This window comes from Homo sapiens, chromosome 19 (assembly GCF_000001405.40).
Source record: "Homo sapiens chromosome 19, GRCh38.p14 Primary Assembly".
Lineage (NCBI taxonomy): Eukaryota > Metazoa > Chordata > Mammalia > Primates > Hominidae > Homo > Homo sapiens.
The window spans coordinates 4,889,681-4,917,538 of record NC_000019.10 but is presented as its reverse complement, the minus strand read 5'-3'; the positions used below and the strand labels follow the sequence as shown (position 1 = coordinate 4,917,538).

The 27,858-nt window shown below is 52.0% G+C and overlaps 2 protein-coding genes across 15 annotated transcripts in view, besides 7 other annotated features; one reads left to right on the top strand and one right to left on the bottom strand.

The window, feature by feature from the left end:
* The window catches only part of UHRF1 (ubiquitin like with PHD and ring finger domains 1), a 59,075-nt gene extending 44,616 nt beyond the window's left edge, over nucleotides 1-14,459 (bottom strand). For 2 of the 9 annotated variants that reach the window (NM_001048201.3, XM_011527942.2), the window contains exons 1-2: nucleotides 7,884-8,038; nucleotides 6,501-6,663 (exon numbers count right to left, since the gene is read on the bottom strand). In NM_001048201.3, the coding sequence (NP_001041666.1) occupies nucleotides 6,501-6,653 (153 nt within the window). In that variant the 5' untranslated portion in view covers nucleotides 6,654-6,663; nucleotides 7,884-8,038. Of the gene's footprint in view, nucleotides 1-6,500; nucleotides 7,173-7,292; nucleotides 7,396-7,883; nucleotides 8,039-13,893 lie in introns of those variants that run through there. The other 7 variants (NM_001290051.2, XM_047438707.1, NM_001290052.2 and 4 more) reach the window with 4 other exon arrangements.
* On the top strand, nucleotides 719-27,102 carry ARRDC5 (arrestin domain containing 5). 6 transcript variants are annotated; one of them, NM_001367189.2, is made up of 4 exons: nucleotides 14,643-14,966; nucleotides 19,454-19,577; nucleotides 20,721-20,868; nucleotides 25,966-27,102. In NM_001367189.2, the coding sequence occupies exons 1-4, from the start codon at nucleotides 14,714-14,716 to the stop codon at nucleotides 26,491-26,493; spliced, it is 1,053 nt and encodes a 350-aa protein (NP_001354118.1). In that variant the 5' UTR covers nucleotides 14,643-14,713; the 3' UTR covers nucleotides 26,494-27,102. The 6 variants fall into 6 exon arrangements, with proteins under 6 accessions (XP_011526483.1, XP_047295176.1, NP_001354118.1 ...); XM_011528181.3 differs by lacking the exons at nucleotides 14,643-14,966; nucleotides 19,454-19,577 and adding an exon at nucleotides 719-2,201; XM_047439220.1 differs by lacking the exons at nucleotides 14,643-14,966; nucleotides 19,454-19,577 and adding an exon at nucleotides 719-2,201 and having other exon boundaries at nucleotides 20,663-20,868.
* Nucleotides 920-979: an enhancer, noted in NCBI's record as "active region_13788". NCBI's record gives its function as "activates an Ori minimal core promoter by ATAC-STARR-seq in GM12878 lymphoblastoid cells {active_cell/tissue: GM12878}" and the evidence as "EXISTENCE:reporter gene assay evidence [ECO:0000049][PMID:35858748]".
* Nucleotides 2,231-2,280: an enhancer, noted in NCBI's record as "active region_13787". NCBI's record gives its function as "activates an Ori minimal core promoter by ATAC-STARR-seq in GM12878 lymphoblastoid cells {active_cell/tissue: GM12878}" and the evidence as "EXISTENCE:reporter gene assay evidence [ECO:0000049][PMID:35858748]".
* Nucleotides 7,180-7,699: a silencer, noted in NCBI's record as "silent region_9913". NCBI's record gives its function as "represses an Ori minimal core promoter by ATAC-STARR-seq in GM12878 lymphoblastoid cells {active_cell/tissue: GM12878}" and the evidence as "EXISTENCE:reporter gene assay evidence [ECO:0000049][PMID:35858748]".
* Nucleotides 8,099-9,005: an enhancer, noted in NCBI's record as "H3K27ac-H3K4me1 hESC enhancer chr19:4908546-4909452 (GRCh37/hg19 assembly coordinates)". NCBI's record gives its function as "activates a minimal SCP1, AML or CMV promoter by ChIP-STARR-seq in naive H9 embryonic stem cells {active_cell/tissue: H9 hESC(naive)}" and the evidence as "EXISTENCE:reporter gene assay evidence [ECO:0000049][PMID:30033119]".
* Nucleotides 8,200-8,279: a silencer, noted in NCBI's record as "silent region_9912". NCBI's record gives its function as "represses an Ori minimal core promoter by ATAC-STARR-seq in GM12878 lymphoblastoid cells {active_cell/tissue: GM12878}" and the evidence as "EXISTENCE:reporter gene assay evidence [ECO:0000049][PMID:35858748]".
* Nucleotides 25,733-26,232: an enhancer, noted in NCBI's record as "H3K4me1 hESC enhancer chr19:4891319-4891818 (GRCh37/hg19 assembly coordinates)". NCBI's record gives its function as "activates a minimal SCP1, AML or CMV promoter by ChIP-STARR-seq in naive H9 embryonic stem cells {active_cell/tissue: H9 hESC(naive)}" and the evidence as "EXISTENCE:reporter gene assay evidence [ECO:0000049][PMID:30033119]".
* Nucleotides 26,233-26,734: an enhancer, noted in NCBI's record as "H3K4me1 hESC enhancer chr19:4890817-4891318 (GRCh37/hg19 assembly coordinates)". NCBI's record gives its function as "activates a minimal SCP1, AML or CMV promoter by ChIP-STARR-seq in naive H9 embryonic stem cells {active_cell/tissue: H9 hESC(naive)}" and the evidence as "EXISTENCE:reporter gene assay evidence [ECO:0000049][PMID:30033119]".
* Nucleotides 27,103-27,858: the final 756 nt, after the last annotated feature.

Genomic DNA, 27,858 nt, shown 5'->3' with positions numbered 1-27,858 from the left:
GGGACTACAGACGTGCACCACCATCCCCAGCTAATTTTTGTATCTTTAGTAAAGATGGGGTTTCACCATGTTGGCCAGCATGGTCTCGATCTCTTGACCTCGTGATCCGCCTGCCTCAGCCTCCCAAAGTGCTGGGATTACAGGCGTAAGCCACCACGCCCGGCCTTGTGGACCCTGTCTCCCTTAAAGGCAAAAAAAAGAAAAGAAAAAAAAGTGTCCAGATAAATACAAATACAACTTGATAACTAAGTTTGCTGATTCCTTTTGAAAACTTAGACAAAGGGCCGAGTGTGGTGGCTCATGCCTGTAAACCCAGTACTTTGGGAAGTCAAGATGGGAGGATCACTTGAGGCCAGGGGTTCAAGACCAGCCTGGTGAAAAAAGCGAGATCCCATCTCTATAAAAAAGAAAAAAAAAAAAAAAAAAACGAAAACTTAAGACTAAAAGCTCACTGCACCCCCCCCCCCCACCGAGCTGCCCACTTCCTACCCCTCGTGCCACATTCAGGGGCTCTCTTTCAGGGTGCCGAACACTGCCTAGCGGCACAGCAGGGCAGATAATGCCACCGGGTTTGGGGAGCAGTGGTTCTCCAACTTTAGGGATAGAAACCAGAAGTTTAGGAGCTCAGCAAAGACCGTGTAAGCCTCGATCAGGAGGGACCTCCAGCCGGAAGAGAGAGTGCCTGCAGGGGCCTGACGGGACCTGGGGGGAAGGAAGTGAGAAACTGCTCTGCCTTCCTGAGGGGCAGCCACAGCTCCTGCTGGCCCGTCTCAGCGCCTCTGCGACAACCTCAGGTGCGGGCAAGACAGACGGAGGGAGAGAAGGGAGGAAGGAAAAACGGATGCAGGAGGATCCTAGACACGGAGGAGACAGAACCCACAAGAGGGGGCGGCGGTGGCGTGGACGGCGCCGCGAGGGCATCCCAGCACACAGGACGGGTGGAGGGCTAGTGACAGCGGAACTCTGCCCTTCGACCCGGCCGGGTCACCGCTGAGGACAGACCCTAGAGCGGCACTTCGGGGGTCAGTGAGGTCAACACAACCGCCACAAAGACACCACGATCACTGTCGCTGCCACTTTCCCTCTTGCGGTCTCAGGAGGGCACAGGGAGGCCTTTGGAGGCTGCGTCACCAGGGACGGCTCCGCCATGTTGACAGCTAAAAGAGGGGGCGCGCTTGTCTTCTTGTGCTCTGAATTTCTCAGCTTTCAATTTATTTGGTTTTTTTTTTTTTTGAGACAAAGTCTCGCTCTGTCTCCCAGGCTGGAATGCAGTGGTACAATCTTGGTTCACTGCAGCCTCAACCTTTCAGGCTCAAGTGATCTTCCCACCTTGGCCTCCCGAGTAGCTAGGACTACAGGCATGCGCCACCATGCCCGGCTAATTTTCATTTTTTGTAGAGACGGGGTCTTGCTACATGGCCCAGGCTGGTCTCAAACTCCCAACCTCAAGCGATCCTCGCCTCAGCCTCCCAAAGTGCTGGGATTACAGGTGTGAGCTACCATGCCTGGCCTCAACTTCTAACACACTAACAGCCGGCAGACATAATCCACACAGACACAGGCTCCTGGGGCTATTGGATCATTCTGGATGATGTAAAGGGTCCTGAAATCCGTTTGAGAACCCCTGACCTGGAAAGACTCCAACACAGCGCACGTAAGGATCTGTTCCAGCACATTCCACAGCAGCATTCTTCCTAGCCAGAAAACCCAGACACACCAACTGAGGCTGGATTAAAGTATGCAATCTAATTGACCAACTATGTCCACGGGGACAATTCTGGCCTGCACCTCTTTTGTTTTGGTTTTGTTTTTTGTTTTGCTTTTTTTTTGAGACGGAGTCTTGCTCTGTCGCCCAGGCTGGAGTGCAGTGGTGGGATCTCAGCTCACTGCAACCTCCCACCTCCCAGGTTCAAGCGATTCTCCTGCCTCAGCCTCCTAAGTGGAACTACAGACATGCGCCACCACGTCTGGCTAATTTTTGTATTTTTAGTAGAGACGGGGTTTCACCATGTTGGCACGCTGTTCTAGAACTCCTGACCTCAGGTGATCCGCCTGCCTTGGCCTCCCAAAGCACCGGGATTACAATCATGAGCCACTGGGCCCCGCCATACCTGTTTTTATAAATCAAGTTTTATTGGAACAAAGCCACGCCCACCGGTTTACAGATTGTCTACAGCTGCTTCGGGGCCACAACAGCAGTGGTGAGTCACCCTAACAGAGGCCGCGCCCTCTACCAGGGAGCCATCCTGGGGGAGGGATGCCGCAGTGGGTGGGAGCTGGTGGTGGGGACCCTCCCTCCCGCAGACAGAAGGGCAGGTCTCTGCAAGGGGGCCGTCCAGTGGGGACACCTGAGGCATCACTGTGACAAGTGACTCTTGCAAGGCCATTCCTGGGCCACCATTTCAACTGAGGCATCAGACTGACCTTAATCCTGCCTTTGAGGCATGGAAGTCTCTGGGAATATTTGTGGTTGTCATGACTGGTAGGGCAGGATGCTCTGGCATGGAGTGGGTGGAGGCCAGGGACGCTGCTCCGCACCCTGCAGTGCCCAGGACGGTCCCAGCCAGAGGATGACCTGGCCCCAAACATCCACAGTGCAGAGCGGGACAGGCCCTGTGCTAAGAGATTGATTTCGCTTTCATTGTGAGCCTGGCACAGGGCTCACTCCGCCCTTCAAATCCACAACCTCATTGAATTCGCACTGCGCTGCAGCGTGGTGGGTATTAGCCCTATCTAAAATAAGATGATGTGGGAGCTGGCGAGTCGCGGGCCAGGGATGCTGAAAAGATTATGTACAGTGCAGAGCGTTGTACCCGAGCAGGTTAAAGGTGCCGCAAAAGACAGCTATTGTTATTTTGATGTGCAGCCAAAAAAAAAAAAAAGATTGAGGGGTGGGGGCCGCAGATGCCTCTCCCGTTGCCTAGGCTGGGCCGTCTGCCCAAAGTCACTGCCCTCGATCAGCTCCCTGCGTTCCCGCCCATCAAGTGACATCACTGTCACCCTATTCAGCCCAAGTGAGACCACCACGAGATCCTCCATATTCCGAGACAGACCCAACTCTGTTCTGCTCTGGGGTCTCCATCAACTTCACTGCAGACCTTGGGCTGCTAGGCCAGGTTTCTTTAAACAGGGAAAAAAAAAGACTGTGAACACTCTAGAACATTCTATAAGGACAACTGCCCATTTGTGCCCACCGGGAACTGTGTTGCTTTCTATCACGTTAGCCTGGGTGCCTGCAGACTTCACGCTCTGGGAGGTGCTGCTGTGTGCCTCTGTCCCGCCTTCCCGCCACTGTCCAAACCTCCCTGCTGCCAGCTCACTTTCCCAGCCATGCAAGTGGGGAAACTGCATCACCTCTCTGTGGCCCGGAAGACAGAAGCAACGACACGATCTCTTAAAAGCTACTGCATGGGGGCCGGATGCGACGGTTCACACCTCTAATCCCAGCACTTTGGGAGGCCAAGGTGGGGGAGGGGGGTGTGAATCACCTGAGGTCGGGAGTTCGAGACCAGCCTGACCAACATGGAGAAACCCCATCTCTACTAAAAATACAAAAAAAATTAGCTGCGCATGGTGGCGCACACCTGTAATCCCAGCTACTCGGGAGGCTGAGGCAGAAGAATCGCTGGAACCCAGGAGGTGGAGGTTGAGGTAAGCCGAGATCACGCAATTGCACTCCACCTTGGGCAATAAGAGCGAAACTGTCTCCAAAAAAAAAAAAAAAAAAAAAAGCTACTGCATGGGAAACAGCCACAGGGTAAGGGAACTAAGAGGCGGTTATGAAGGTTACACAGGAACACTGAATCTTTTCATAACTACCAGAGCTGACCTGGGAGACGAAATTCAGTGTTGAGAGCCCAGTCTCAGAAACCAAAATCCCAGGTTCCAATCCCAGCTCCCTGTTCAGTCCGGGTGAGTTCCGGCAAGGCTAGGGCCAGGTGTCATCACTGCGGACATCCTGACAATTAAAAGCACAATGTACGTGGCTGGGTGCAGTGGTTCACACCTGTAATCCCAGCACTTTGGGAGACGGAGGTAGGTGGATCACCTGAGGTCAGGAGTTCAAGACCAGCCTGGCCAACATGGTGAAACTCCGTCTCTACTAAAAATACAAAAAATTAATCAGGCGTGGTGGTGGGTGACTGTAATCCCAGCTACTTGGGAGGCTAAGGCAGGAGGATCGCTTGAACTTGGGAGATGAAGGTTGCAGTGAGCCCAGATCGAGCCACTGCACTCCAGCCTGGGCAACAAGAATGAAACTCCATCTCAAAAAAAAAAAAAAAAAAGCACAATGTACATGTCTAATTAACATACGTGTTCCTGTCATTGTCACACTAAACTTAGAAATGTGACAGACACTATTGTATGACTCAAGTATTATGTTACAAATGAGGGGAGATAGGGGTTTTGGGTTGCATGGATGTAGACATTTGTCAAAATTATTCAGTCTGTCTAACATCTGTTTCACTATAGACAAAGCTTTTAGGTCCGGCACTGTAGCTCACGCCTGTAACCCCAAAACTTTGAGAGGCCAAGGCAGGAGGGTCACTTGAGCCCAGGAGACCACCCTGGGCAATATAATAAGACCCCATCTCTACAAAAGATACAAAAACTAGCCAGGCATGGTGGTGCATGCCTATAGTCCTAGCTACTTGGGAGGCTGAGGCTGGAGGATTGCTTGAGCCCAGGAAGCTGAGGCTATAGTGAGCTGTGATCGTGCCACTGCAACACAGCCTGGGCAGAGTGAGATCCTGTCTCAAATAGGAACAACAACAAAAAAAATCAATGAAAACAGAACCAAAAACAAATACTGAGCTCTAGGTACTGACGGTGTGCTGCAGTAATAAGGGAAAGGTGGACTGGTGTCTGCAACTTACTTTGAAATGCATCCCAAAAAGATGGATTGGCGGGCAGAGAGAAAGACAGAGCGCTTCAAGATAAACCTAATAAGTCAGAATACCGATGGTGAAATCTACATGGCAGGTGTGTCTAGGTGTTTTCCCATTCCTGCATGGTTGAAATGCAAAAGTTAAAATGCTAGCTCGGTGGCTGGCATAGAGTGGATACTCAGCATTATCTCCTCTCCTGAACTTGGGAGCATGAGAGTCCAACCCGCCACTGACCTACGCTGTGAACTTAGAAGGTCCTTGCAGGCTTCAGAAACTCTTTGTGAAATGAAGCCTTCTGTGCTGACCCAATAGGCTGAGTGGCAAATCAAAATCAGTTTGGATGCCACAAAGGGAGCACGCATCATAGGAGGAGGGAGGAAGAGAGCGCCAGGCGGAGCTCCTCTGTCGAGCCCGGCCCTGCCTCTTCTCTGCACACACGCGGCTTGCACCGTCAACTCCCCAAGTTCTCCAGATCGCCTCCTCCCGGGGCAGGGCGGGTTAACTCAGATTCTTAAGACTCAAGTCATCACGTCTCTTACGGGAAGAGGGCTAATGAAGGTCTCCTATGGCATGCAAGCCAGAGAAATTAATCATCAGGTCTCATCTGGAGTGAGCAGGCATGATCCTCCCAGCCCCCAAAAACCCCTGGCCGGGCGCAGTGTTTATTTTCCAACCTAGACACCAGATGGCAGCAGTACCCGGTTCAAAATCCAACAACAACACAGTGGGGTACACGCAGCTCAACTGACGACTTTTAATCCAGTTCCAGTAGTCTACGCCCGTCCCCACGGTCCAACCAACTCCAGCAGATGGGACCTACACCTTCGATCACACTGTCTCATCCTGCCGGGAAACCCCACTCCCAGTAGGTCCCACAGTCCCCCACAAAAACACCAACCAAAGTAGCACCTCCACCCCCAGGTGCCAATGGAGGGAGCGCCCCAAACGTGGCAGCTATGAAATCAAAGGGGGACATTTTAAATGCAACGAGGGGCTGGAGACAGAACAGAGAAAGAGACGAGGGTCGGTGGACCCCTCGGGGACCACACGCCCCAGGTCAGCAGCAGCCGCAGCACAGCAGGCTCAGGGTGGCGGAAATTCCTGATTAGCAAGCGCCATCTCCAGACTCTGAATAAGCTAATCCAAATTTTTAGAAACAAACACTCGCAGGGTCTGATGCTTAACCGGTACAGGCTGAGAGCAATTGGTGGTGGATGTTTAAAAAAGAAAACCTGGTCCCCTCCGTCCTAGCTACCAGATGGTCCTGGGCCCTTTCTCGAAAATTCCTCAGCCTTCCATCGGCCACCTCCAAAACTTCTTTCTCTAGCCATTATTTTGAGGCGGAGCTTTGAAAAAAGAAGTTTAAAAGCCCAGACCCTATAGATTCGAGGGCCAGCCGCCAGCCCAGCGTGTCAATCTGTGAGTCCTCCCTTTGTTCCTTCCTCTCGCAGGCATTTGAGGTTTCTGTGGACTTCTCCTTCCGGGAGAGATGAAGTGGGACCGGACGAGGTTGTTGGGGGGGGAGGTGGGAGGGAGAAAGTATCGGCTGGTGGCTGCAGAGGCGCGAGGCCTGGACCAGGCATAGAACAAAGGTGCTGGCGGCGGGTGTACCTGTTTGCCCCTGTAGAACAGCCTCTGCAGGCCTGGCTCCACGTGGAACAGCTCCTGGATCTTCCGCCTCAGCTCCTCCACCTTGGTCAGCCTGGACAGCGAGTCCACCGTGTGGGTCTGCCTCCCGTCCATGGTCCGAACCTGGATCCACATGGTGTCGGCGCTGAGGGGAGGGACAGCAAAAACCCCCATCAGTTTTACCAGCACCTCTGAGCCATGCCATGCTCTAAGGAGTCGGGGTTGCTTTTGTCCGGCCTGTGGACACCAGGAAACTCCCAGGATGCCCTTCCAGTCCTCCTGTACAGCCAGACCCTGGCCAGGACCAGACACAACAAATTAAGCACTTAAGGCATTAACGACTAGCCAAGTGTTGAAGATTGAGGAGGAAGGAGAATGAAAAGAGGGAATTGAAAGAAAAGCAGAAGGTCCAACCCATCCCTCCTTCCCCACGACCAGAGGAGAAAGGAGGCCCGGGCCAAGTGGCCGAGTTGGTTCGTTTATTCATTCATTCATTGATTCATTCATTCCTCGGATTCCTATTTACGGAAGAGGGAATCCCAGAAGTCCAGCGCGGGCCGGAACTTCAGAAGTCCCGGGGGAACTCAACCAAGTGCCACTGAGAGGGAAAAACCCCACCCGAGATCCGCGGACCCCGGGACCCCTCGGTGCCCACGCCCCCCCTCCTTGCCGGCCCCCCCCGCGCGCGTGCGCGACCGGGCCCGCCCCGCGGTGGCCATGGTAACCGGCCGCCCCGTCCCGGCCACCCGCGAGCGCGCGCGCCCCGCGACTCACCTCGACCTCCAACCCCCGGCAGCTCGCGCCCCTCCAAACCCTGGACCCTCGGCGTCCCTCCCGCACTCCCACTGGCCCGCGCGGGTCGCGCCAGCGAGCCCACGCCCACCCCCGCCGCCGGGACTACAGAGGGGGCCCCCGCTCGTCAAGTCCCGCCCCCCTTCACTTGAGCCGCCTCTTATTGGCTCCGCAGCACCCGGCCGCCCCGCCCCGCTCGCTCCCCATTGGCCCAGATGCTCCCGGGGAACTCAGGGCGCGCGAAATCGGGCTCGGGCGCGACAATTGAATCGCGGGGCGCCCCGCGCGCAGGCGCGGAGCCTGACATCCTCCCCGGCGGCTCGCCAGGCCCTCCCCCACCCGGCGCGCTCGACCCCCCGCCGGGCTCCGGGGACGCAGCGCTGGTCCCGGCTCCAGCCGGATGTGTGCCGGGGAACGATTCCCGAGGGTTAGGTGGAAGGGGAGGCCCTGGATCCCGGGACAGAGTGCGGGACATGCGTGCGCCCGGGCTGGCCGCGCGGGAAAGTTTTGCAAAGTTCCCGAGCCCCGTGCGCCCGGCCCGGGCTGGCACCCCGACCCGGCCCGCCCGCTCACCTCTCCGGTCGCCGCGAACAGCTTGTCTGCCTGCGCGCGTGGCCCGGCTGGGGATGGCGATGAAACCGCGTGCGTGGCCCGGACCCCGCGCGGACTTGCGTGCGACCCGGAGCGCCCGCTCGGCAAACGCTGCCCGCCGCGCTGCCAGCTGCTCTGATTTTTTTCCCGCGAAAACTCGGCATTTGGGAGTTGCGGGGCCGCAGGAGGCCGTGCCGGGGGCGGGCGCCTGCCTCCTGATTGGCCGACGCAGTGGCGGGAAGCGAGAAAGAGGGTGGGGGGCGCCCCCGCCTCTGTCCACGGCGCCTCCGCCTAGTGGGCCACGGCTCCGCCCAGCCCTGCGCGCTCTGCTGGGCGCGCCCAGCGTGCAAAGGGGCTGCGTGGCAGGGCCTGGTCACCCCCCGCACGTGGACACCCCAGGAGCCTTGGGGACCCCCAGGGTACAGACCCCCTGAACTCTTAAGTCCAAGTCCGTTCGCAGCCCCCCACTCGCACGCATTGACCAGTAGGTCTAAGAAGGCCGGAATCAATGTGTAAATACTGCGAGGGAATGTGGGGGGCCCCTAGGAGACCACCTGCACCCTGATGGCTCGCCCGATCGCCCCAAGCCCCACTGCCTGGCGTCAGGGCCTGCCAGGGCTCCCCACTCTACCCACCCGCAGGGCTTGTTTGCTGTCTTTTCCCGCCTCGTTTTCCCGCCTTCTCCAGGCTGTCCAGGCGGGCAGGGCTGCCCTGCCCCCTCCGCCCTGTCTGTTCCACTCTGACCAGTCCTGGCGGGCACAGGAGTGACCTGTGCTGGGCACCTACAAAGCAGCCGGACAGGTTGCTCAGAGCTGCAGAACCCAGCGGTGTACATGGCAGACCCAGTTGGTGGTCTCAGGGAGGGAAAATTCCTATCTGGGGGAGACAGGCAAGAAATGAATAACTAAAGCAGATAATTTCAGATGATTCCTTATAGGAGAGTGACCAGCAGCCATGTGGTGGGAGGCGGGGAGAGAGGATACTCTCTCACTGGGGCCACTGCGGTGGGCCTCTCAGAGAAGATGACATTTGAGCTGGAATCGGAGATGAGACTCCAAGGACAGATGGGTCTAGGAGGGAAAGTCAAACCCAGAGGCCGGAAAAGGCTTAGAGGTGTCCAGGGAGCAGGAAGGGGCTGGTGTGGTTGGGGCCCACTGAGCAAAGGGGAGGGGGAGTTGAGGTCAGAGGGGTGATATATAATACCTTGAAGGCCACCGGGGAGGACTTTGGTCTTTCCCTTGAGAGCTGTGAGCAGAAAAATGTTGAGTTCCCACTTAGCTTTTTACAGTTTCTTCGTCACTCTATTAAGTCTCCTCTATCTGGTCAGTGGGACTTCTGCTATGTCCCTAATATAGGAGACAGATCATGGCCCCCGAAGATATGCGTCTCTAGACCCCCACGTCCTCGCCCCCAGGATCTGTGAATACAGTGCCTTACACAGCTAAAAGGACTTTGCAACTTTGCAGGTGTGATTCAGTTAATGATTTTGAGTTGGGGAGCGTCTCCTGGGTGATCCAGGTGGGCACAATGTCCTTAAAAGGTCCTAATAAGTGAAAAAGGGATACAAAAGGTCAAAGTCAAAGGAGATGGGAAAGTGGAAGCAGGCTTTACAATGATCAGGCCAAGGGCCGGGCGCGTTGGCTCACACCTGTAATCCCAGCACTTTGGGAGGCCGAGGCAGGCAGATCACCTGAGGTCAGGAGTTCGAGACCAGCCTGACTAACATGGAGAAACCCCGTTTCTACTAAAAACACAAAATTAGCCTGGCGTGGTGGCACATGTCTGTAATCCCAGCTACTCGGGAGGCTGAGGCAGGAGAATCGCTTGAACCCAGGAGGCAGAGGTTGTGGTGAGCCAAGATCGCGCCATTGCACTCCAGCCTGGGCAACAAAAGCAAAACTCAGTCTCAAAAAAAAAAAAAAAAAAAAAAAAAGATCAGGCCAAGAGGCAAGGAAGATGGGCAGCCTCTGGTGGCTAGAAAAAGCAAGAAAGACTCCTAGAACCCGCCCTGCCCCTAAAATTTATTTCAGACTTCTGACCTCCCAAACTGTAAGATGATAAATGTGTGGGCCGGGCGTGGTGGCTCACACGTGTAATCCCAGTACTTTGGGAGGCCGAGGCAGGCAGATAACTGGAGGTCAGGAGTCGCCAGACTAGCCTGGTCAACATGGTGAAACCCCATCTCTACTAAAAATACAAAAATTAGCCAGGTGTGGTGGCCGGCGCCTGTAATCCCAGCTACTCGGGAAGCTGAGGCAGAGAATTGCTTGAACCTGGGAAGCGGAGGTTCCAGTGAGCAGAGATCGTGCCACTGCACTTCAGCCTGGACAACAGAGCGAGACTGTGTCTCAAAAAAAAAAATTAGCTGGGCAGGGTGGTGTGTGCCTATAATCCCAGCTACTCAGGAGATTGAGGCAGGAGAATCACTTGAACCCAGGAGACGGAGGTTGCAGTGAGCCAAGATCGAGCCAGTGTACTCCCACCTGGGTGACAGAGCAAGGCTCTATCAACAAATAAATAAATGTGTGTTTTGCAGCCACTGAGTTTGTGGTCCTTTGTCATAGCAGCCTTGGGAAGCTCCTGCATTCTAATCCACGATGTCCAGATGGTGCTGTTCACTGTTTGCAACCTCAGTACACGATCAACGCTACTGCACACAATTCTAGACCCTCAGCCATCAGCCAGGTAGAACCCACACCACAGGTATGAGCAGGCCCACCTGAGGGTGTGAGACGGCTTGAGCTCTTCCAAAATGACAGCACCTGCTGCAGGAACCTAGCCTATTTCTATCAGAACACATCATCTGTTTGTAGCGCTGTTGCGAAAACTCAACGTGGCTGAAAGAGGGAATACATTTTTCTTTTTCTTTTTTTCTTTTTCTTTTTGAGATGGAGTCTTGCTTTGGTGCCCAGCCTGCAGTGCAGTGGTATGATCTTGGCTCTCCGCAACCTCCACCTCCTGGGTTCAAGCAATTCTTCTGCCTCAGCCTCCCCAGTAGCAGGAACTAGAGGTCCGCACCACCATGTCCGGCTAATTTTTTATTTTTAGTAGAGATGGGGTTTCACCACATTGGCCAGGCTGGTCTCAAACTCCTGACCTTAGGTGATCTGCCCGCCTGGACTTCCCAAAGTGCTGGGATTACAGGCATGAGCCACTGTGATTGGCTGGGCATGCATTCTTCATGTACACGTGGTGAGGGGCACAGCCTAAGCACCTTGGATAATGGAAGTTAAGTGTCACAGAGGAGGTATCTAGCCCTCCCTGCAGAAAAGATACTGAGGACTGTTGATTGAGGGCTCCAGTTCCCTAGTCATCTTGAGAACATCAAAATTTTTCAAATTAGCTCAGGTTAATTGTCCAGCTGGGTGCAGTGGCTCACACCTGCAATCCCAGCACTTTGAGAGGCCGAGGAAGGCTGATCTCTTGCGCCCGGGAGTTTGAGACCAGCTTGGGCAACGTAGTGAGAACCCTTCTCTACAAAAAATAAAAATAAATTAGCCAGGCATGGTGGTGTGCACCTGTAGTCCCAGCTACTCAGGACACTGATGCAGGAGGACCTCTTGAGCCCAGAAGATCAAGGCAACAGTGAGCCATGCTTGCGCCACTGCACTCTAGCCTGGGTGACAGAAGGAGACTCTGTCTCAAAAAATAGTAATAATTGCTCAAGTTAATCATTTAAAAACATGAGTAACAAACTATTCCAGGCGTCTCAGAAAAAAAGCTCACAAGTCACTTAGAGCAGGGGTGTCCAATCTTTTGGCTTCCCTGGGCCACATTGGAAGAAGAATTGTCTTGGGCCACACATAAAATACACTAACACTGGCCGGGCACAGTGGCTCACGCCTGTAATCCCAGAACTTTGGGAGGCCAAGGCAGGCGGATCACTGAGGTCAGGAGATCAAGACTAGCCTGGCTAACACGGTGAAACCCCGTCTCTACTAAAAATACAAAAATTAGCCAGATGTGGTGGCACGTGCCTATAATCCCAGCTACTCGGGAGGCAGAGGCAGAAGAATTGCTTGAACCCAGGAGGCGGAGGTTACAGTGAGCCGAGATTGCACCACTGAACTCCAGCCTGGGCAACAAGAGCAAAACTCCATCTCAAAAATAAATAAATAAATAAATAAATAATAAAATACACTAACACTAACAATACCTGATGAGCTAAAAAAAAAATTGCAAAAAAATCTCATAATGTTTTAAGAAACTACAAATTTGTGGCCGGGTGTGGTGGCTCACACCTGTAATCCCAGCACTTTGGGAGGCTGAGGCAGGTGGATCACGAGGTCAGGAGATGGAGACCATCCTGGCTAACATGGTGAAACCCCATCTCTACTAAAAATACAAAAAAAAATTAGCCGGGCATGGTGGCACATGCCTGTAGTCCCAGCTACTCGGGAGGCTGAGGCAGGAGAATGGCGTGAACCTGGGAGGCAGAGCTTGCAGTGAGCCGAGATCACACCACTGCACTCCAGCCTGGGCGACTGAGCAAGACTCTGTCTCAAAAAAAAAAAAAAAAAAAAAAAAAAGAAAGTTTACGAATTTGTGTTGAGCCATATTCCATCCTGGGCCAAATGTGGCCCGTGGGTCAGGGGTTGGATGAGCTTGACTTAGGGAAATAAGAGGCCAATGCCCACAAAAGCTATCACATAAAATAATGCAAGATACAGCCAAGACAAGAAATAAGGCCTGCCAGGCTAGAGAATGGGTACTTCCTAGCCCCTCCTATGATTCAATGTCCCTCCCTCTCAGGCACCAGACCATGTGCAAATCAGGTGCCAGGAATAATTGTTAGAGTGCAAAGGGCTTCAGTTTCCCTTTTGCAAAATGATACATTCTCAGAGGTCATTAAGTCATTCAACAAACTTTTATTGATTCCACCCCCCACACCCACTCCTGGCTGAGCCAGATCCTGCCTGGGTCACGCAGACATTGATGGGCACAAAGTTCACTTAGACAAGGTCTCACCCTGGAGGGACTTCCCATCCAATGGGGGAGATGCAGGCATAAAGAGAAATGTCAGCCAGGCGTGGTAGCTCATGCCTGTAATCCCAGCACTTTGGGAGGCCAAGTGAGGCGGGTGGATCATGAGGTCAGGAGTTCAAGATCAGCCTGGCCAAGATGGTGAAACCCTGTCTCTACTAAAAATAACAAAAATTGGCTGGGTGCGGTGGCTCACGCCTGTAATCCCAGCACTTTGGGAGGCCAAGGTGGGCGGATCACGAGGTCAGGAGATTGAGACCATCCTGGCTAACATGATGAAACCCCGTCTCTACTAAAAATACAAAAAATTAGCCAGGCATTTGTGGCGGACGCCTGTAGTCCCAGCTACTCGGGAAGCTGAGGCAGGAGAATGGCATGAACACGGGAGGCGGAGCTTGCAGTGAGCCGAGATCGCACCACTGCACTCCAGCCTGGGTGACAAAGTGAGACTCCAATCTCAAAAAAAAAACAAAAACAAAAACAAAAAGAACAAAAATTAGCCGGGCACGGGGGCAGGTGCCTGTAACCCCCATGCCCGTAATCCCAGCTACTTGGGAGGCTGAGGCAGGAGAATCGCTTGAACCCAGGGGGCAGAGGTTGCAGTGAGCCGAGATCACGCCACTGCACTCCAGCCTGGGCAACAGAGTGAGATTCCACCTCAAAAAAAAAGAGAAATGTCAATCATGCAGGGAGTTGCTGCTTCCTGATGGTGTCGATGTTCAGATTAAGCACACACTGCCCTGATCAACTTCAGTGCGCACCAGATTTCAGGTCCTGGCCATATCTCTATGTTTTTTCCAATATAGACCAATATAAATGTAGAGTCTTTAAGATGAAAATGAGTGTGTATGCACCTGGGCACAGTGGCTCACAACTGTAATCCCAGCACTTTGGGAGGCCAAGGCAGGCGAATCATGTGAGGCCACAAGTTCGAGACCAGCCTGGCCAACATGGTGAAACCCCGTCTCTACTAAAAATACAAAAATTAGCTAGTTGCAGTGGCACTTGCCTGTAATCTCAGGTACTTGGGGGGCTGAGGTGGGAGAATCGCTGGAACCCAGGAGGCAGAGGTTGCAGTGAGCCGAGATCACACCATTGCACTCCAGTCTGGCTGACAGAGTGAGACCATCACAAAAAATAAAAATAAAATAAATAAAAATACCAAAAAAAAATTAGCAAAGCATGGTGATGGTGCATGCCTGTAATTCCAGCTACTCAGGAGGCTGAAGCAGGAGAATTGCTTGAACCCGGGAGGCAGATGTGGCAGTGAGCCGAGATCGCGCCACTACACTCCAGCCTGGGTGACAGAATGAGACTTTGTCTCAAAAAAAGAAAAAGCCCAGGTGCAGTGGCTCACGCCTGCAATCCCAGCACTTTGGGAGGCTGAGGTGGGTGGATCACGAGGTCAGGAGATCGAGACCATCCTGGCCAACACAGTGAAACTCTGTCTCTACCAAAAAATTAGCTGGGCATGCTGGCATGCACCCGTGGTCCCAGCTACTCAGGAGGCTGAGGCAGGAGAATTGCTTGAACCCATGAGGCGGAGGTTGCAGTGAGCCAAGATGGCACCCCTGCACTCCAGCCTGGGCTACAGGGTAAGACTCCATCTCAAAAAAAAAAAAAAAGAACCAGTGAGGACTACAGGTTTCCCAATCAACCACCCACCCTAAACAACAGTTTTGCCTCCCCTCCTGGCCACTGGGGTCCCCACTTCCCGGAACTCTGAGCTGAGTGATGTCATAGATGGATTACCTCACTAGGGCCAACGAACCGGGAATTTCAGGGACATGGGGGACAGAGAGGAATGTCTCTCTACCCCCCAACCCCCCATGTCTGTGGTGAAGTCGATCGAATTAGTGCTGCCCGAGGATAGAATCTACCTGGCTGGCTCCAGCATAAAAGGGCAGGTGATCTTAACCCTGAACAGCACCCTGGTGGACCCCATAGTGAAGGTGGAGCTCGTGGGAAGGGGTTACGTCGAATGGAGTGAAGAAGCCGGGGCATCCTGTGATTATAGCAGAAATGTTATTTGCAACAACAAGGCAGACTACGTGCATAAGACAAAGACATTCCCAGTGGAGGGTAAGGACGAGGCCAACAGCCACCCCTAGCCATGACAGGAACCTGGGTCTGGAAAATAAACACATCCGAGAGTCAATCAACAAAACTCTAGGGCTATCAGAAATAGGGAGTGGCCTGATTTCTCCCTAGGAGGGAGGCCATGAAGAACAATGACCATCAGATACACAAAACGCAAAAATAACAAGACATAAGGAGCTGATCGGAACCCCGATATTCAAAATGAAGGTTCAAAGTAGTCTCCTTGGAAAATGCTCAATCCAACAACTGCCTTTGAGAGGCCTCTGAGAAGTCTTATTCTTTTACAGATAAGTTTCACTCTGACAGCAAAACCCCAGGAGACAAAGTAGGCAGTCCTGCATTCATGGGGAGAGACAGTGGAGGTGGGCCAGGCACAGTGGTTCATACCTGTAATTCCAGCACTTTGAGAGGCCGAGGCAGGTGGATCACTTGAGGTCAGGAGTTTGAGACCAGCCTGGCCAATATAGCGAAACCCCATCTCTACCAAAAAATACCAAAAAATTAGCTGGGCGTGCTGGCACGTGCCTGTAATCTCAGCTACTTGGGAGGCTGAAGCAAGAGAATCACTTGAACTCGTGAAGGGGAGGTTCCAGTAAGCTGAGATCGCACCACAGCACGCCAGCCTGGGTGACGGAGCGAGATTCCCTCTCAAAAAAAGAAAGATAGTGGAGGTAGAAGAGCAAGGGAGACCTTCCAGAGAAGGAATAACTAGTCCCCAGTTCCACCAGGTCAGATCTGAAATCTGAACAAATGTCAGAGAGTCTGCTGAGTTGTCGGGGAAATTATATGTCCATTGCAAAATGTGTTTGTGGGGATATTCCCAGGTATTAAGCAGTCAAGCAGAACACGTGGCCAACACTTGGCTGAACAAAGTGTAATTTAATTTAATTTATTTCTGTATTTATTTATTTGTATCTTATTTATTTATTTATCTATTTTTTGAGACACAGTCTCGCCCTGCTTCCCAGGCTGGAGTGAAGTGGCACCATCTCGGCTCGCTGCAAGCTCCGCCTCCCGGGTTCAAACGATTCTCCTGCCTCAGCCTCCTGAGTGGCTGGGATTACAGGCACCCGCCACCATGCCCAGCAATTTTTGGTATTTTTAGTAGAGGCAGGGTTTCACCACGTTGGCCAGGCTGGTCTCGAACTCCTGACCTCGTGATTCGCCCACCTCGGCCTCCCAAAGTACTGGGATTACAGGCATGAGCCACCAGGCCTGGCTTATGTATTTATTTTTGAGACAGGGCCTCGCTCTGTTGCCCAGGCTAGAGGCCAGTGGTGTGATCAAAACTCACTGCAGCCCCAGCCTCTCTGGCATAAGCGATCCTCTCACCTCAGCCTCCTGAGTAGCTGAGACCACAGGCACATGGCACCATGCTTGGCTAATTTTTGTTTATTTTTTGTTTTCGTTTTTTTGAGACGGAGTTTTGCTCTTGCTGCCCAGGCTGGAGTGCAATGGCGCAATCTCGGCTCACCGCAACCTCCTGGGTTCAAACGACTGTCTCTTAAAAAAAGAACTAGCAATTTTTTTTTTTTTTGAGACTGAATCTCACTCGTTGCCCAGGCTGGAGTGCAGTGGCGTAATCTTGGCTCACTGCAACCTCCACCTCCTGGGTTCAACCGATTGTCCCGCCTCAGCCTCCCGAGTAGCTGGCACTACAGGCGTGTGCCACCACTCCCAGCTAATTTTGTATTTTTAGTAGAGACGGAGTTTCTCCATGTTGGTCAGGCTGGTCTTGAACTCCCGACCTCAGGTGATCCGCCCACCTTGGCCTCCCAAAGTGCTGGGATTACAGGCATGAGCCACCACACCTGGCCATTTTAGACTTTAAAAATTTAGATGAGATGGTCTGTTCCACCAGAGGAGTACTCTGCAAAGAGGGAACAACCAAGCACAGAACTGAGTGATAGGAGGGACTCCAGCCATGCAAATATCCTGGGGACAAATGTCAACTTACCAGACACTAATACTGAGCAATTATGTGACCTCTCTGGCTCTCAGTTAACCAATCTATAAAATGGGAGTAGGAAGAGGTCCTATTTCATAAGATTGTGTTAAGGACTTAATGATTTAATGGCACATAAAGCGCTTAGAATAATGCCAGGTATACAGTAAATGCTTAAAAATTGCTATTTCTGGCCAGGCACAGTGGCTCACACGTGTTATCCCAGCACTTTGGGAGGCCAAGGTGGGCAGATCACCAGAGGACAAGAGTTCAAGACCAGCCTGGCCAACATGGTGAAACCCCGTCTCTACTAAAAATACAAAAAATACAGCTGCTCAAGAAGCTGAGGCAGAAGAATGGCGTGAACCCGGGAGGCGGAGCTTGCGGTGAGCCGAGATCACGCCACTGCACTCCAGCCTGGGCAACAAAGCGAGACTCCGTCTCAAAAAAAAAAAAAAAAAAAAAAGAAAGAAACAGAAAAAAAAGACTGCTGGCCGGGCGCGGTGGCTCATGCCTGTAATCTCGGCACTTTGGGAGGCCAAGGGAGACGGAGGTTGCAGTGAGCCAAGATTGCACCACTGCACTCCAGCCTGGGCAACAGAGTGAGATTCAGTCTCAGAAAAAAAAAATGTTGCTAGTTGTTTTCTTTTCTTTTATTTATTTACTTTTTTGGAGACGGAGTCTCCTCTGTCGCCCAGCGTGGAGTGCAGTGGTGCAATCTTGGCTCACTGCAAGCTCCGCCTCCCGGGTTCTCGCCATTCTCCTGCCTCAGCCTCCTGAGTAGCTGGGACTACAGGTGCCCGCCACCACGCCTGGCTAATTTTTTTTTTTTTTTTTTTTTTTTTGTAGAGACGGGGTTTCACCGTGTTAACCAGGATGGTCTCGATCTCCTGACCTCATGATCCACCCGCCTCGGCCTCCCAGAGTGCTGGGATTACAGGCGTGAGCCACCGCGCCCGGCCGCTAGTTCTTTTTTTAAGAGACAGTCTTTACTCTGGCACCCAGGCTGGAGTGCCATGGCGTGATCTCAGCTCACTGCAACCTCCACCTCCTGGGTTCAAGCAATTCTCCTGCCCCAGCCTCCTGCATAGCTGGGATTACAGGCGCATGCCACTATGCCCTACTAATTTTTTGTATTTTTAGTAGACACAGGGTTTCACCATGTTGGCCAGGCTGGTCTCAAACTTTTGACCTCAGGTGATCTGCCCCACCTCAGCCTCCCAAAGTGCTGGGATTACAGGCATGAGCCACCATGCCCATCCCAGGTTTTTCATTTATTTAATAAACATTTTTTTTTTGAGATGGAGTCTCACTCTGTCGCCCAGGCTGGAGTGCAGTGGCGCGATCTCGGCTCACTGCAAGCTCCGCCTCCCGGGTTCACGCCATTCTCCTGCCTTGGCCTCCCGAGTAGCTGGGACTACAGGCACCCGCCACCACGCCCAGCTAATTTTTTGTATTTTGTTTATTACAGACGGGGTTTCACCGTGTTTGCCAGGATGGTCTCGATCTCCTGACCTCGTGATCTGCCCGCCTCGGCCTCCCAAAGTGCTGGGATGACAAGTGTGAGCCACCATGCCTGTTCCAGGTTTTTCATTTATTTAATAAACATTTATTGAGTGCCTACTGTGCACAAACACCGTGCTAGGTGCTGGGGATGCAGCAGTGATGAAAAAAACACAGCCTGGGCCGGGCACGGTGGCTCACGCCTGTAGTCCCAGCACTTTGGGAGGCTGGGTGGGCAGATCTCCTGAGGTCACAAGTTCAAGACCAGCCTGACCAACATGGCAAAACCCCATCTCTATGAAAAATACAAAAATTAGCCAGGTGTGGTGACACGCGCCTGTAGTCCCAGCTACTTGGGGCGCTGAGGCAAGAGGATCACTTGAGCCCAAGAGGTCCAGGCTGAGTGACAAAGTGAGACCCTGTCTCAAAAAAAAAAAAAAAGGCCAAGCCCGCCTGATGGCTTATGCCTGTAATCCCAGCCCTTTGGGAGGCCAAGGCAGGTGGATTATCTGAGGTCAGGAGTTCGAGACCAGCCTGGCCAACATGGTGAAACCCCATCTCTACTAAAAATACAAAAATTAGCCAGGCATGGTGGTACACACCTGTAATTCCAGCTACTCAGGAGGCTGAGGCAGGAGAATTGCTTGAACCTAGGAGGCGGAGGTTGCAGTGAGCCAGGATCACGCCACTGCACTCCAGCCTGGGTGACAGAGTGAGATTCTGTCTCAAAAAAACAAAAAAGAAAGAAAGAGACAGGGTCCCTAGTATCTTTGGGATTGCCATGGGCCAGAGAAGATAGAAAATGCTAAGAGGATTTTCGAGAAGTGCAAGAAGGAAAATGAAACAAAGGTCATGGAAATGGCAGTTGTGTGAGAGTCTGCTTCCTAGACCATCACTCAGTTGGTCAATCAATATGTATTAAGCACCCACTGTATACCATGCACTGAAGGTCAAGCTCTATGAGGGCGAAAGTTTTCTCTGCCTCACATACTACTTTGTTTATTTATTTATTTATTTTTAGAGATGGCGTCTCGCTCTGTCACCCAGGCTGGAGTACAGTGGCATGATCTCGGCTCACTGCAACCTCCGTCTCGCACGTTCAAGCTATCCTCCCACCTCAGCCTCCTGAGTACCTGGAACTACAGGTGTGTGCCACCACACCCGGCTAATTTTTGTATTTTTAGTAGAGATTGGGTTTCGCCATTTTGGCCAGCTTGGTCTCAAACTCCTGACCTCAGGTGATCCGCCCGCCTTGGCCTCCCAAAGTGCTGGGATTGCAGGCGTGAGCCACTGGGCCCAGCCAGTTTGTGCCTATTATCCCAGCACTTTTGGGAGAGTGAGGCAGGAGGACTGCTTGTGGCCAGAAGTTCAAGACCAGCCTGGGAAACATAGCAAGACCCTGTCTCTACCAGAAATTTAAAAATTAGCCAGGCATGGTGGCATGGGCCTGTAGTCCCAGCTCTTCTGGAGGCTGAGGTGGGAGAATCACTTGATCTCAGGAGTTGGAGGCTGCAGTGACCATGATCACACCACTGCACTGCAGCCTAAGCAACAGAGCCAGACTTTGTCCCTACAAAAAGAAAAAAAAAGATATATTTGTTGAACCCTGAAGGCCTGACTTCCACTTTCTCAGGCTCAGGGCAGGGATATGCAAGAGCCCTTCAGTGGTTTCGGGTGACAACTCCAGGCATGTCACCCACCCCAGGGCATCCCACTCCAGCCCAGCTGCGACCTGATATTTATAGGCCCAGCAGGTCCTAAAAGCATAGAGCTCAGTTTAACTCAGGAGGGACAGACAAGCCAAGCCCAGGACCCACCTCCATGCCAAAACAATAAATCAAGCAAAAAAAGGCCAGGTGCAGTGGCTCACGCCTGTAACCCCAGCACTTTGGGAGGGCAAGACGGGCGGATCGCCGGAGGCCAGGAGTTCAAGACCAGGATGGACAACATGACAGAACCCCATCTCTGTCAAAAATATAAAAATTAGCCAGGTGTGGTGGTGCACGCCTGTAGTCGCAGCTACTCAGGAGGCTGAGGCAGGAGAATCGCTTGAACCTAGGAGGCAGAGGTTGCTGTGAGCTGAGATCACACCACTATACTCCAGACTGGGTGACAGAGTGAGACCGTGTCTCAAAAATAAATAAATATAAAAATAAAGCAAAAAAAAAAAGAAGAAGAAGGAAAAAAGATTCTAGAACCTTCTGATGGCATCGGTGTGTTTTGCTTTCAGATAATTGGTTAAGTGCAGGCAGCCACACCTTTGACTTCCATTTCAACTTACCTCCCAGGCTTCCTTCTACCTTCACCAGCAAATTTGGCCATGTCTTCTATTTCGTACAAGCTTCCTGCATGGGCAGGGAACACATTTTAGCCAAGAAGAGGATGTACTTATTGGTTCAAGGAACTTCCACCTTCCACAAAGAAACCCCATTCCAGGTACCGATGGGGGAAAGGTGGAGGTGGGAACAATCTCCAAGCTCCAAGGAGGAAGAGGGAAGGTGGGCAGGCAGGGGACAGAGAAGGTCCCATGGGGAGAAGGGAAGGGTGTTGGCAGCTTCCCAGGCCCCGAGATTTCACAAAAGGTGAGTCAGAAACCTTAGGGCAGCTGGAGGTCAAGGCTGCAGTAAGCCATGTTTGCACCACTGCACTCCAGCCTGGGCGACAGAGTGAGACCCTGTCTCTAAAATAAAATTATATATATGTGTGTGTGTGTGTGTGTGTGTGTGTGTGTGTGTGTGTGTGTGTAAAAAAAAAAAAATATATATATATATATATATTTTTTTTTTTTTTTTTGAGATGCAGTCTCGCTCTGTCACCAGGCTGAAGTGCAGAGGCATGATCTCGGCTCACTGTAACCTCCGCCTCCCAGGTTCAAGCGATTCTCCTGCCTCAGCCTCCTGAGTAACTGGGATTACAGATGTGCACCACCATGCCCAGCTAATTTTTGTATTTTTAGTAGAGACAGGGTTTCGCCATGTTGGCAAGGCTGGTCTCAAACTCCCGACCTCAGGTGATCCGCCTGCCTTGGCCTCCCAAAGTGCTGGGATTACAGGCGTGAGCCACCATGCCAGGCCAACATTTTTTTTAGAAAAGAAACAAGGGCAGGAACTAAGCCAGTGGTTTTCAACTGTGGCTGTTTTATCCCCATAAGGGACATTTGGCAATGTCTGGAGACATCTGTGGTTGTCTCAACTTGGGGGGTGCTCCTGGCATGGAGTGGGTGGAGGCCAGGGGCGCTGCTCAGCACCCTGCAGTGCCCAGGACGGCCCCACCCAGGAGAATGGCCCAAATGTCCACTTGTCAAGAGGGAGACACGACCCTGGGGAAAAGCCAAGAAAAGGCCCCACAGGGTGACCCTCAGGGTGGGAGAGAGGCATGTACACTCAGTGGCCCTCCAGCACTGACCTTGGAGCTCCCAGACAATAGAGGTGGTGGCCTCAGTCCAGGAGAAGGACGGGCAGTGCAGCCTCCGCTTGGCTGAGTGAAGGACTCGTTCTGGATCCCTTCCCGAGTCCAGGTGCAGAGGCGGAAGTCGAGGTGGGAGGAGGGACGTTGGCCAAAGTCACTTCACATCTCCAGGGAGTCATTTGTCATCAGAGCATTGGGACAGGACGACAAATGTCAGAGGGCTGGCATTTTTTTTCCTTTTTCTTTCTTTCTTTTTTTTTTTTTTTTTTTTTTTTTGAGACGGAGTCTCACTTTGTCACCCAGGCGGGAGTGCAGTGGCGCAATCTTGGCTCAATACAACCTCTGCCTCCCAGCTTCAAGTGACTCTCCTGCCTCATCCTCCCGAGTAGCTGGGATGAGAAGTACCCACCACCACGCCCAGCTAATTTTTGTATTTTTTAGTAAAGACGGAGTTTCCACATGTTGGCCAGGCTGGTCTTAAACTCCTGACTTCAGGTGATCCGCCTGCCTAGGCCTCCCAAAGTGCTGGGATTACAGGCGTTAGCCACCGCTCCTAGCCGGTACCGCTATTAAAAAAAAAATGTAATAGCTCATTTGGAAATAAGGGACATTGGTAGCTCTTGGCACCTCCTGATACCTCCTTCAGGACCAGGACAGAAATACCAGCTTTGTCTGGAGTTAGGGCAGCAGGTTCTTTCACACCTGCAGGGTCCTAACGCATGCTACGAATTTTCGAATAAGACTGCAGGGATTTACAATGTAACCAGATTCAATTAACCTTCAGGAGAGGAGGGGGAGCTCCAGCTGCTCCTGAAAAGGCTGAAGAGAAGCCAGAGGCAGAAAAGTGGGAGGTGAGGTCAGAGGGGGTCAAGGGTCTGCCTGAGTTCTCAAAAAGGAAACATACCTGACTTCCTGCAGTATGATTTTCTTCTTCTTCTTCTTCTTCCTCTTCCTCTTCCTCTTCCTCTTCTTCTTCTTCTCCTTCTCCTTCTCCTTCTTCTTCTTTTTTTTTTTTTTGAGACAGTCTCATTCTGTCGCCCAGGCTGGAGGGCAGTGGCGCGATCTCGGCTCACTGCAAGCTCTGCCTCCCAGGTTCATGCCATTCTCCTGCCTCAGCCTCCCGAGTAGCTGGGACTACAGGCACCCACCACCATGCCCGGCTAATTTTTTTTTTTTTTTTTTTTTTTTGAGACGGAGTCTCGCTCTGTCGCCCAGGCTGGAGTGCAGTGGCGGGATCTCGGCTCACTGCAAGCTCCACCTCCCGGGTTCACGCCATTCTCCTGCCTCAGCCTCCCAAGTAGCTGGGACTACAGGCGCCTGCCACTACGCCCGGCTAATTTTTTGTATTTTTAGTAGAGACGGGGTTTCACCGTTTTAGCCGGGATGGTCTCGATCTCCTGACCTTGTGATCCGCCCGCCTCGGCCTCCCAAAGTGCTGGGATTACAGGCGTGAGCCACCGCGCCCGGCCAATTTTTTGTATTTTTTATTAGAGACGGGGTTTCACCGTGTTAGCCAGGATGGTCTCAATCTCCTGACCTCGTGATCCACCCGCATCAGCCTCCCAAAGTGCTGGGATTACAGGCGTGAGCCACCGCACCGGCTGTCTTCTTCTTCTTCTTTCTTCTTCTTCTCCTCTTTTTTTTTTTTTTTTAGGCAGAGTCTTGCTCTGTCGCCCAGGCTGGAGTGTAGTGGCGCTATCTCGGCTCACTGTAACCTCTGCCTCCTGGGTTCACGCCATTCTCCTGCCTCAGCCTCCCAAGTAGCTGGGACTACAGGTGCCCACCACCACGCCTGGCTATTTTTTTTTTTTTGTATTTTTAGTAGAGATGGGGTTTCACCCTGTTAGCCTGGATGGTCTCAATCTCCTGACCTCGTGATCCACCCACCTCGGCCTCCCAAAGTGCTGGGATTACAGGGGTGAGCCACCGCACCCGGCCTTCCTTTTTGGTTTTTTTTTTTTTTTTTTTTTTTGGAGACAGGGTCTCACTATGTTGCCCAGGCTGGTCTTGAACTTCTGGGCTCCAGTGATCCTCCCCCCTTGGCCTCCCCAAAGTGCTGGGATTACAGGCATGAGCCACCATGCCCAGCCAGCAATGTTTTTCAAATCACAGGTCACAACCCAGTCGTGGGTTGCAAAAATCCATTTGGTGGAATACAAGCATTTTCTTTTCTTTTCTTTTCTTTTTTTTTTTGAGACAGAGTCTCACTCTGTTGCTCAGGCTGGAGTGCAGGGCTGGATCTCAGCCTCACTGCAACCTCAGTCTCCCAGGTTCAAGTGATTCTCCTGCCTCAGCCTCCTGAGTAGCTGGGATTACAGTTGCGTGCCATCACACCCGGCCAACTTTTGTATTTTTAGTAGAGATGGGGTTTCACCACGCTGGCCAGGCTGGTCTCAAATTCCTGACCTCAGGTGATCCTCCTGCCTCGGCCCCCCAAAGTGCTGGGATTACAGGTGTGAGCCACTGCGCCTGGCTATATATATATAATATATATATAATATGTTATATTATTATAATATATTATATATAATAATATATTATATATATTCTAATAATATAATATATATTATATTATTATAATATATATATTTATTTTTGAGACGGAGTCTTGCTCTTTCGCCAGACTGGAGTGCAGTGGCGCGATCTCAGCTAACTTCAACCTCCACCTCCCAGATTCCAGCAATTCTCCCGCCTCAGCCTCCTGAGTAGCTGGGATTGCCGACGCCTGCCACCACGCCCGGCTAATTTTTGTATTTTTAGTAGAGACGGGGTTTCACCAAGTTGGCCAGGATGGTCTTGATCTCTTGACCTCATGATCCACCCGCTCAGCCTCCTGAAATGCTGGGAGCGCCTGGCCATATTTTTATAAAATGAAAGAATAGGCAAGAATCTAAATAGGCAATATCACAAAAAATCAATTTAGCAGGTTGCAACCACTTTTTTATATTAAGATAAAAGAACAGAACAGGCAACAAGTAGAATAAAAATATCAGAAATAACAATTTGCTATGTTGCAAACAACTTTTTAAAAATAAAAGCAGGCTGGGCACAGTGGCTCATGCCTGTAATCCCAGCACTTTGGGAGGCTGAGGTGGGAGGACTGCTTGAGCCCAGGAGTTTGAGACTAGCCTGGACAACATAGTGAGACCTTCTTTCAAAAAAAAAAAGCTGGGGTGTGGTGGCACACATGCCTGTGGTCCCTGCTACTTGGGAGGCTGATGGAGGAGGATCACTTGAGTCCAGGAGGTCAAGTCTGCAGTGAGCCATGAGTGCACCACTGCACTCCAGGCTGCATTAAAAAAAAAAAAAATGCTGGATGCAGTGGCTCATGCCTGTAATCCCAGCACTTTGGTAGGCCGAGGCAGGCGGATCACAAGGTCAGGAGTTCAAGACAAGTCTGGCCAACATAGTGAAACCCTGTCTCTACTAAAAATACACAAAAAATTAGCTGGGTGTGGTGGCGTGCGCCTGTAATCCCAGCTACTCAGGAGGCTGAGGCAGAAGAATCGCTTGAACCCGGGAGGCGGAGGTTGCACTGAGCCGAGATCACGCCACTCCACTCCAGCCTGGGCAACAGAGCAAGACTCTGTCTCCAAAAAAATACAAAAAACAAAAAACAAAACATGCTGGGAGATGGGAGATGACTCCAGGTTTTTGACTGCAAAATCCCTAGGCTTCCAGATTCCATCTTAATGCCTCTTCCTAGGAGAGCCCCCAAAGCCCCAGAGACTTTTTTTTTTTTTTGAGACGGAGTTTTGCTCTGTAGCCCTGGCTGAAGTGCAATCACACAATCTCGGCTCACTGCAACCTCCACCTCCCGGGTTCAAGAGATTCTCCTGCCTCAGCCTCCTGAGTAGCTGGGATTACAGGGATGCTCCATCACGCTCAGCTAATTTTTGTATTTTTAGTATAGATGGAGTTTCGCCATGTTGGCCAGGCTGGTCTCGAACTCCTGACATGGTGATCCTCCCGCCTCGGCCTCCCAAGGTGTTGGGATTATAGGCGTGAGCTATCGTGCCCAGCCAGCCCCACAGACTTTGAGGAGTTCCCAGGGTGGATCAGGCAGGCAAGTGGATTTTGTGGTCCTGGTCCCTCACGGTTGTCTGTTCCCCCACATCCTCCTAGAACCCCTTGTTCGTGGAGGCTGAGGAGAAAGTCTCCTACAACTGCTGCCGCCAGGGCACTGTCTGTTTGCAAATCCAGATGGAAAGGAACACCTTCACGCCAGGAGAGAAGGTCGTCTTCACAACAGAGATCAACAACCAGACCAGCAAATGCATCAAGACGGTCGTATTCGCCCTGTATGCCCACATACAGTACGAGGGCTTCACGCCCAGTGCAGAGCGGCGGTCTCGGCTGGACAGCAGCGAGCTTCTGAGGCAGGAGGCCAACACCCCCGTGACCCGCTTCAACACCACCAAGGTTGTCAGCACCTTCAACCTGCCGTTGCTGCTGTCCGTGAGCAGCAGCACGCAGGACGGTGAGATCATGCACACTCGCTACGAGCTGGTCACCACCGTGCACCTGCCCTGGTCCCTGACCAGCCTCAAGGCCAAAGTTCCCATCATCATCACCAGCGCCTCAGTGGACTCTGCCATCTGCCAGCTGTCAGAGGACGGAGTGTTACCCGTGAACCCAGATCACCAGAATTAAGTGCCCGAACTTTTAAATATTAAAAGCTTTATTAGTCTCTACCAGGAGGAAGCCCTCTCTCTTGCACAGGTGACTCTCAGAGGAGTCGAGGAGTGGGCAACAGGTTGTCTGCAACCTCCCCAAGCTCTAGCGGTTTAGGTATCTGTGTCTCCCCTCCCTAGAACTATCACTGAATGCCTGGAATGGACAAAGGAAACCGGGAAGGTCTCCCAGGACCCAAACCCGGCATAACCTGCCTTTTCCACCCTGAGTCTGCCCCAGCCTACTGGGGTCTCACAGTGCCAAGACCAGGGGTCCTACTTGGGGAGAATTCTCCCCTCTGCTAATGTCTGGTTGTATTGGCTGTCACAACTGCAGGGGATCGGGGGAGAAGAGTCTTATTGGCGTGGAGAGGGTGGAGGCCAGGGACGCTGTTCAGCACCCTGCAGTGTCCAGGACGGCCCCCACAATCAGGAATTGTTTATCCTGAATGTCAACAGTACCAAGGGGGCTGAGCATGGTGGCTCATTCCTGTAATCCCAGGACTTTAGGAGGCCATGGCTGGAGGATCACTTGAGACCAGGAGTTTGAGACAAGCCTGGGCAACACTGTGAGACCCCCATCTCTACAAAAAAAAAAAAAAGAGAAAAAGAAAAACTGGCCGGGCACGGTGACTCACACCCAGCCCAGCACTTTGGGGGGCCAAGGCAGGCGGATCACGAGGTCAGGCAAGACCATCCTGGCTAACACGGTGAAACCCCATCTCTACTAAAAATACGAAAACAAAATTAGCCAGGCATGGTGGTGGATGCCTGTAGTCCCAGCTACTTGGGAGGCTGAGGCAGGAGAATGGCGCGAACCTGGGAGGTGGAGCTTGCAGTGAACCGAGATCGTGCCACTGCACTCCAGACTGGGTGATAGTGCAAGACTCCGTCTCAAAAAAAAAAAAAAAAAGAAAAATTATCCAGGCGTGATGGTGTGCACCTGTAATCCCAGCTACTCGGGAGTCTGAGGCAGGAGAATCTCTTGAACCTGGGAGGCTGAGGTTGCAGTGAGCTGAGATCACCTCACTGCACTCCAGCCTGGGTGACAGTGCAAGAGTCAGTCTAAATATATATATGTATATATATATATATGAAAAATTAGCTGGCTGTAGCAGCAAACACCTTTAGTCCCAGCTATTAGGGAGGCTGAGGCTGGAGGATCACTTGAGTCTGGGAGATCGAGGCTGAAGTGAGCCATGATCGTGCTACTGCACTCCGGCCTGGGTGATAGAGCAAGACACTGTCTCAAAAAAATAAAAATAAAAAAAAAAGCCACCCACAATATCACAGTACACAGGGGGAGAAACTGTGTGCTGGTGTAATTCACAGAGGTTGCTATTGA

What these genes read in the sequence shown, in the direction of transcription:
- ARRDC5 (NM_001367189.2), top strand. Translation starts at nt 14,714, where the DNA reads ATGTCTGTGGTGAAGTCGATCGAATTAGTGCTGCCCGAGGATAGAATC. An exon ending in AAAGACATTCCCAGTGGAGG is followed by an intron (nt 14,967 to 19,453) that starts GTAAGGACGAGG and finishes ATTTATTTTTAG; the next exon opens with AGATGGCGTCTCGCTCTGTC. An exon ending in ACAAAGAAACCCCATTCCAG is followed by an intron (nt 20,869 to 25,965) that starts GTACCGATGGGG and finishes ACATCCTCCTAG; the next exon opens with AACCCCTTGTTCGTGGAGGC.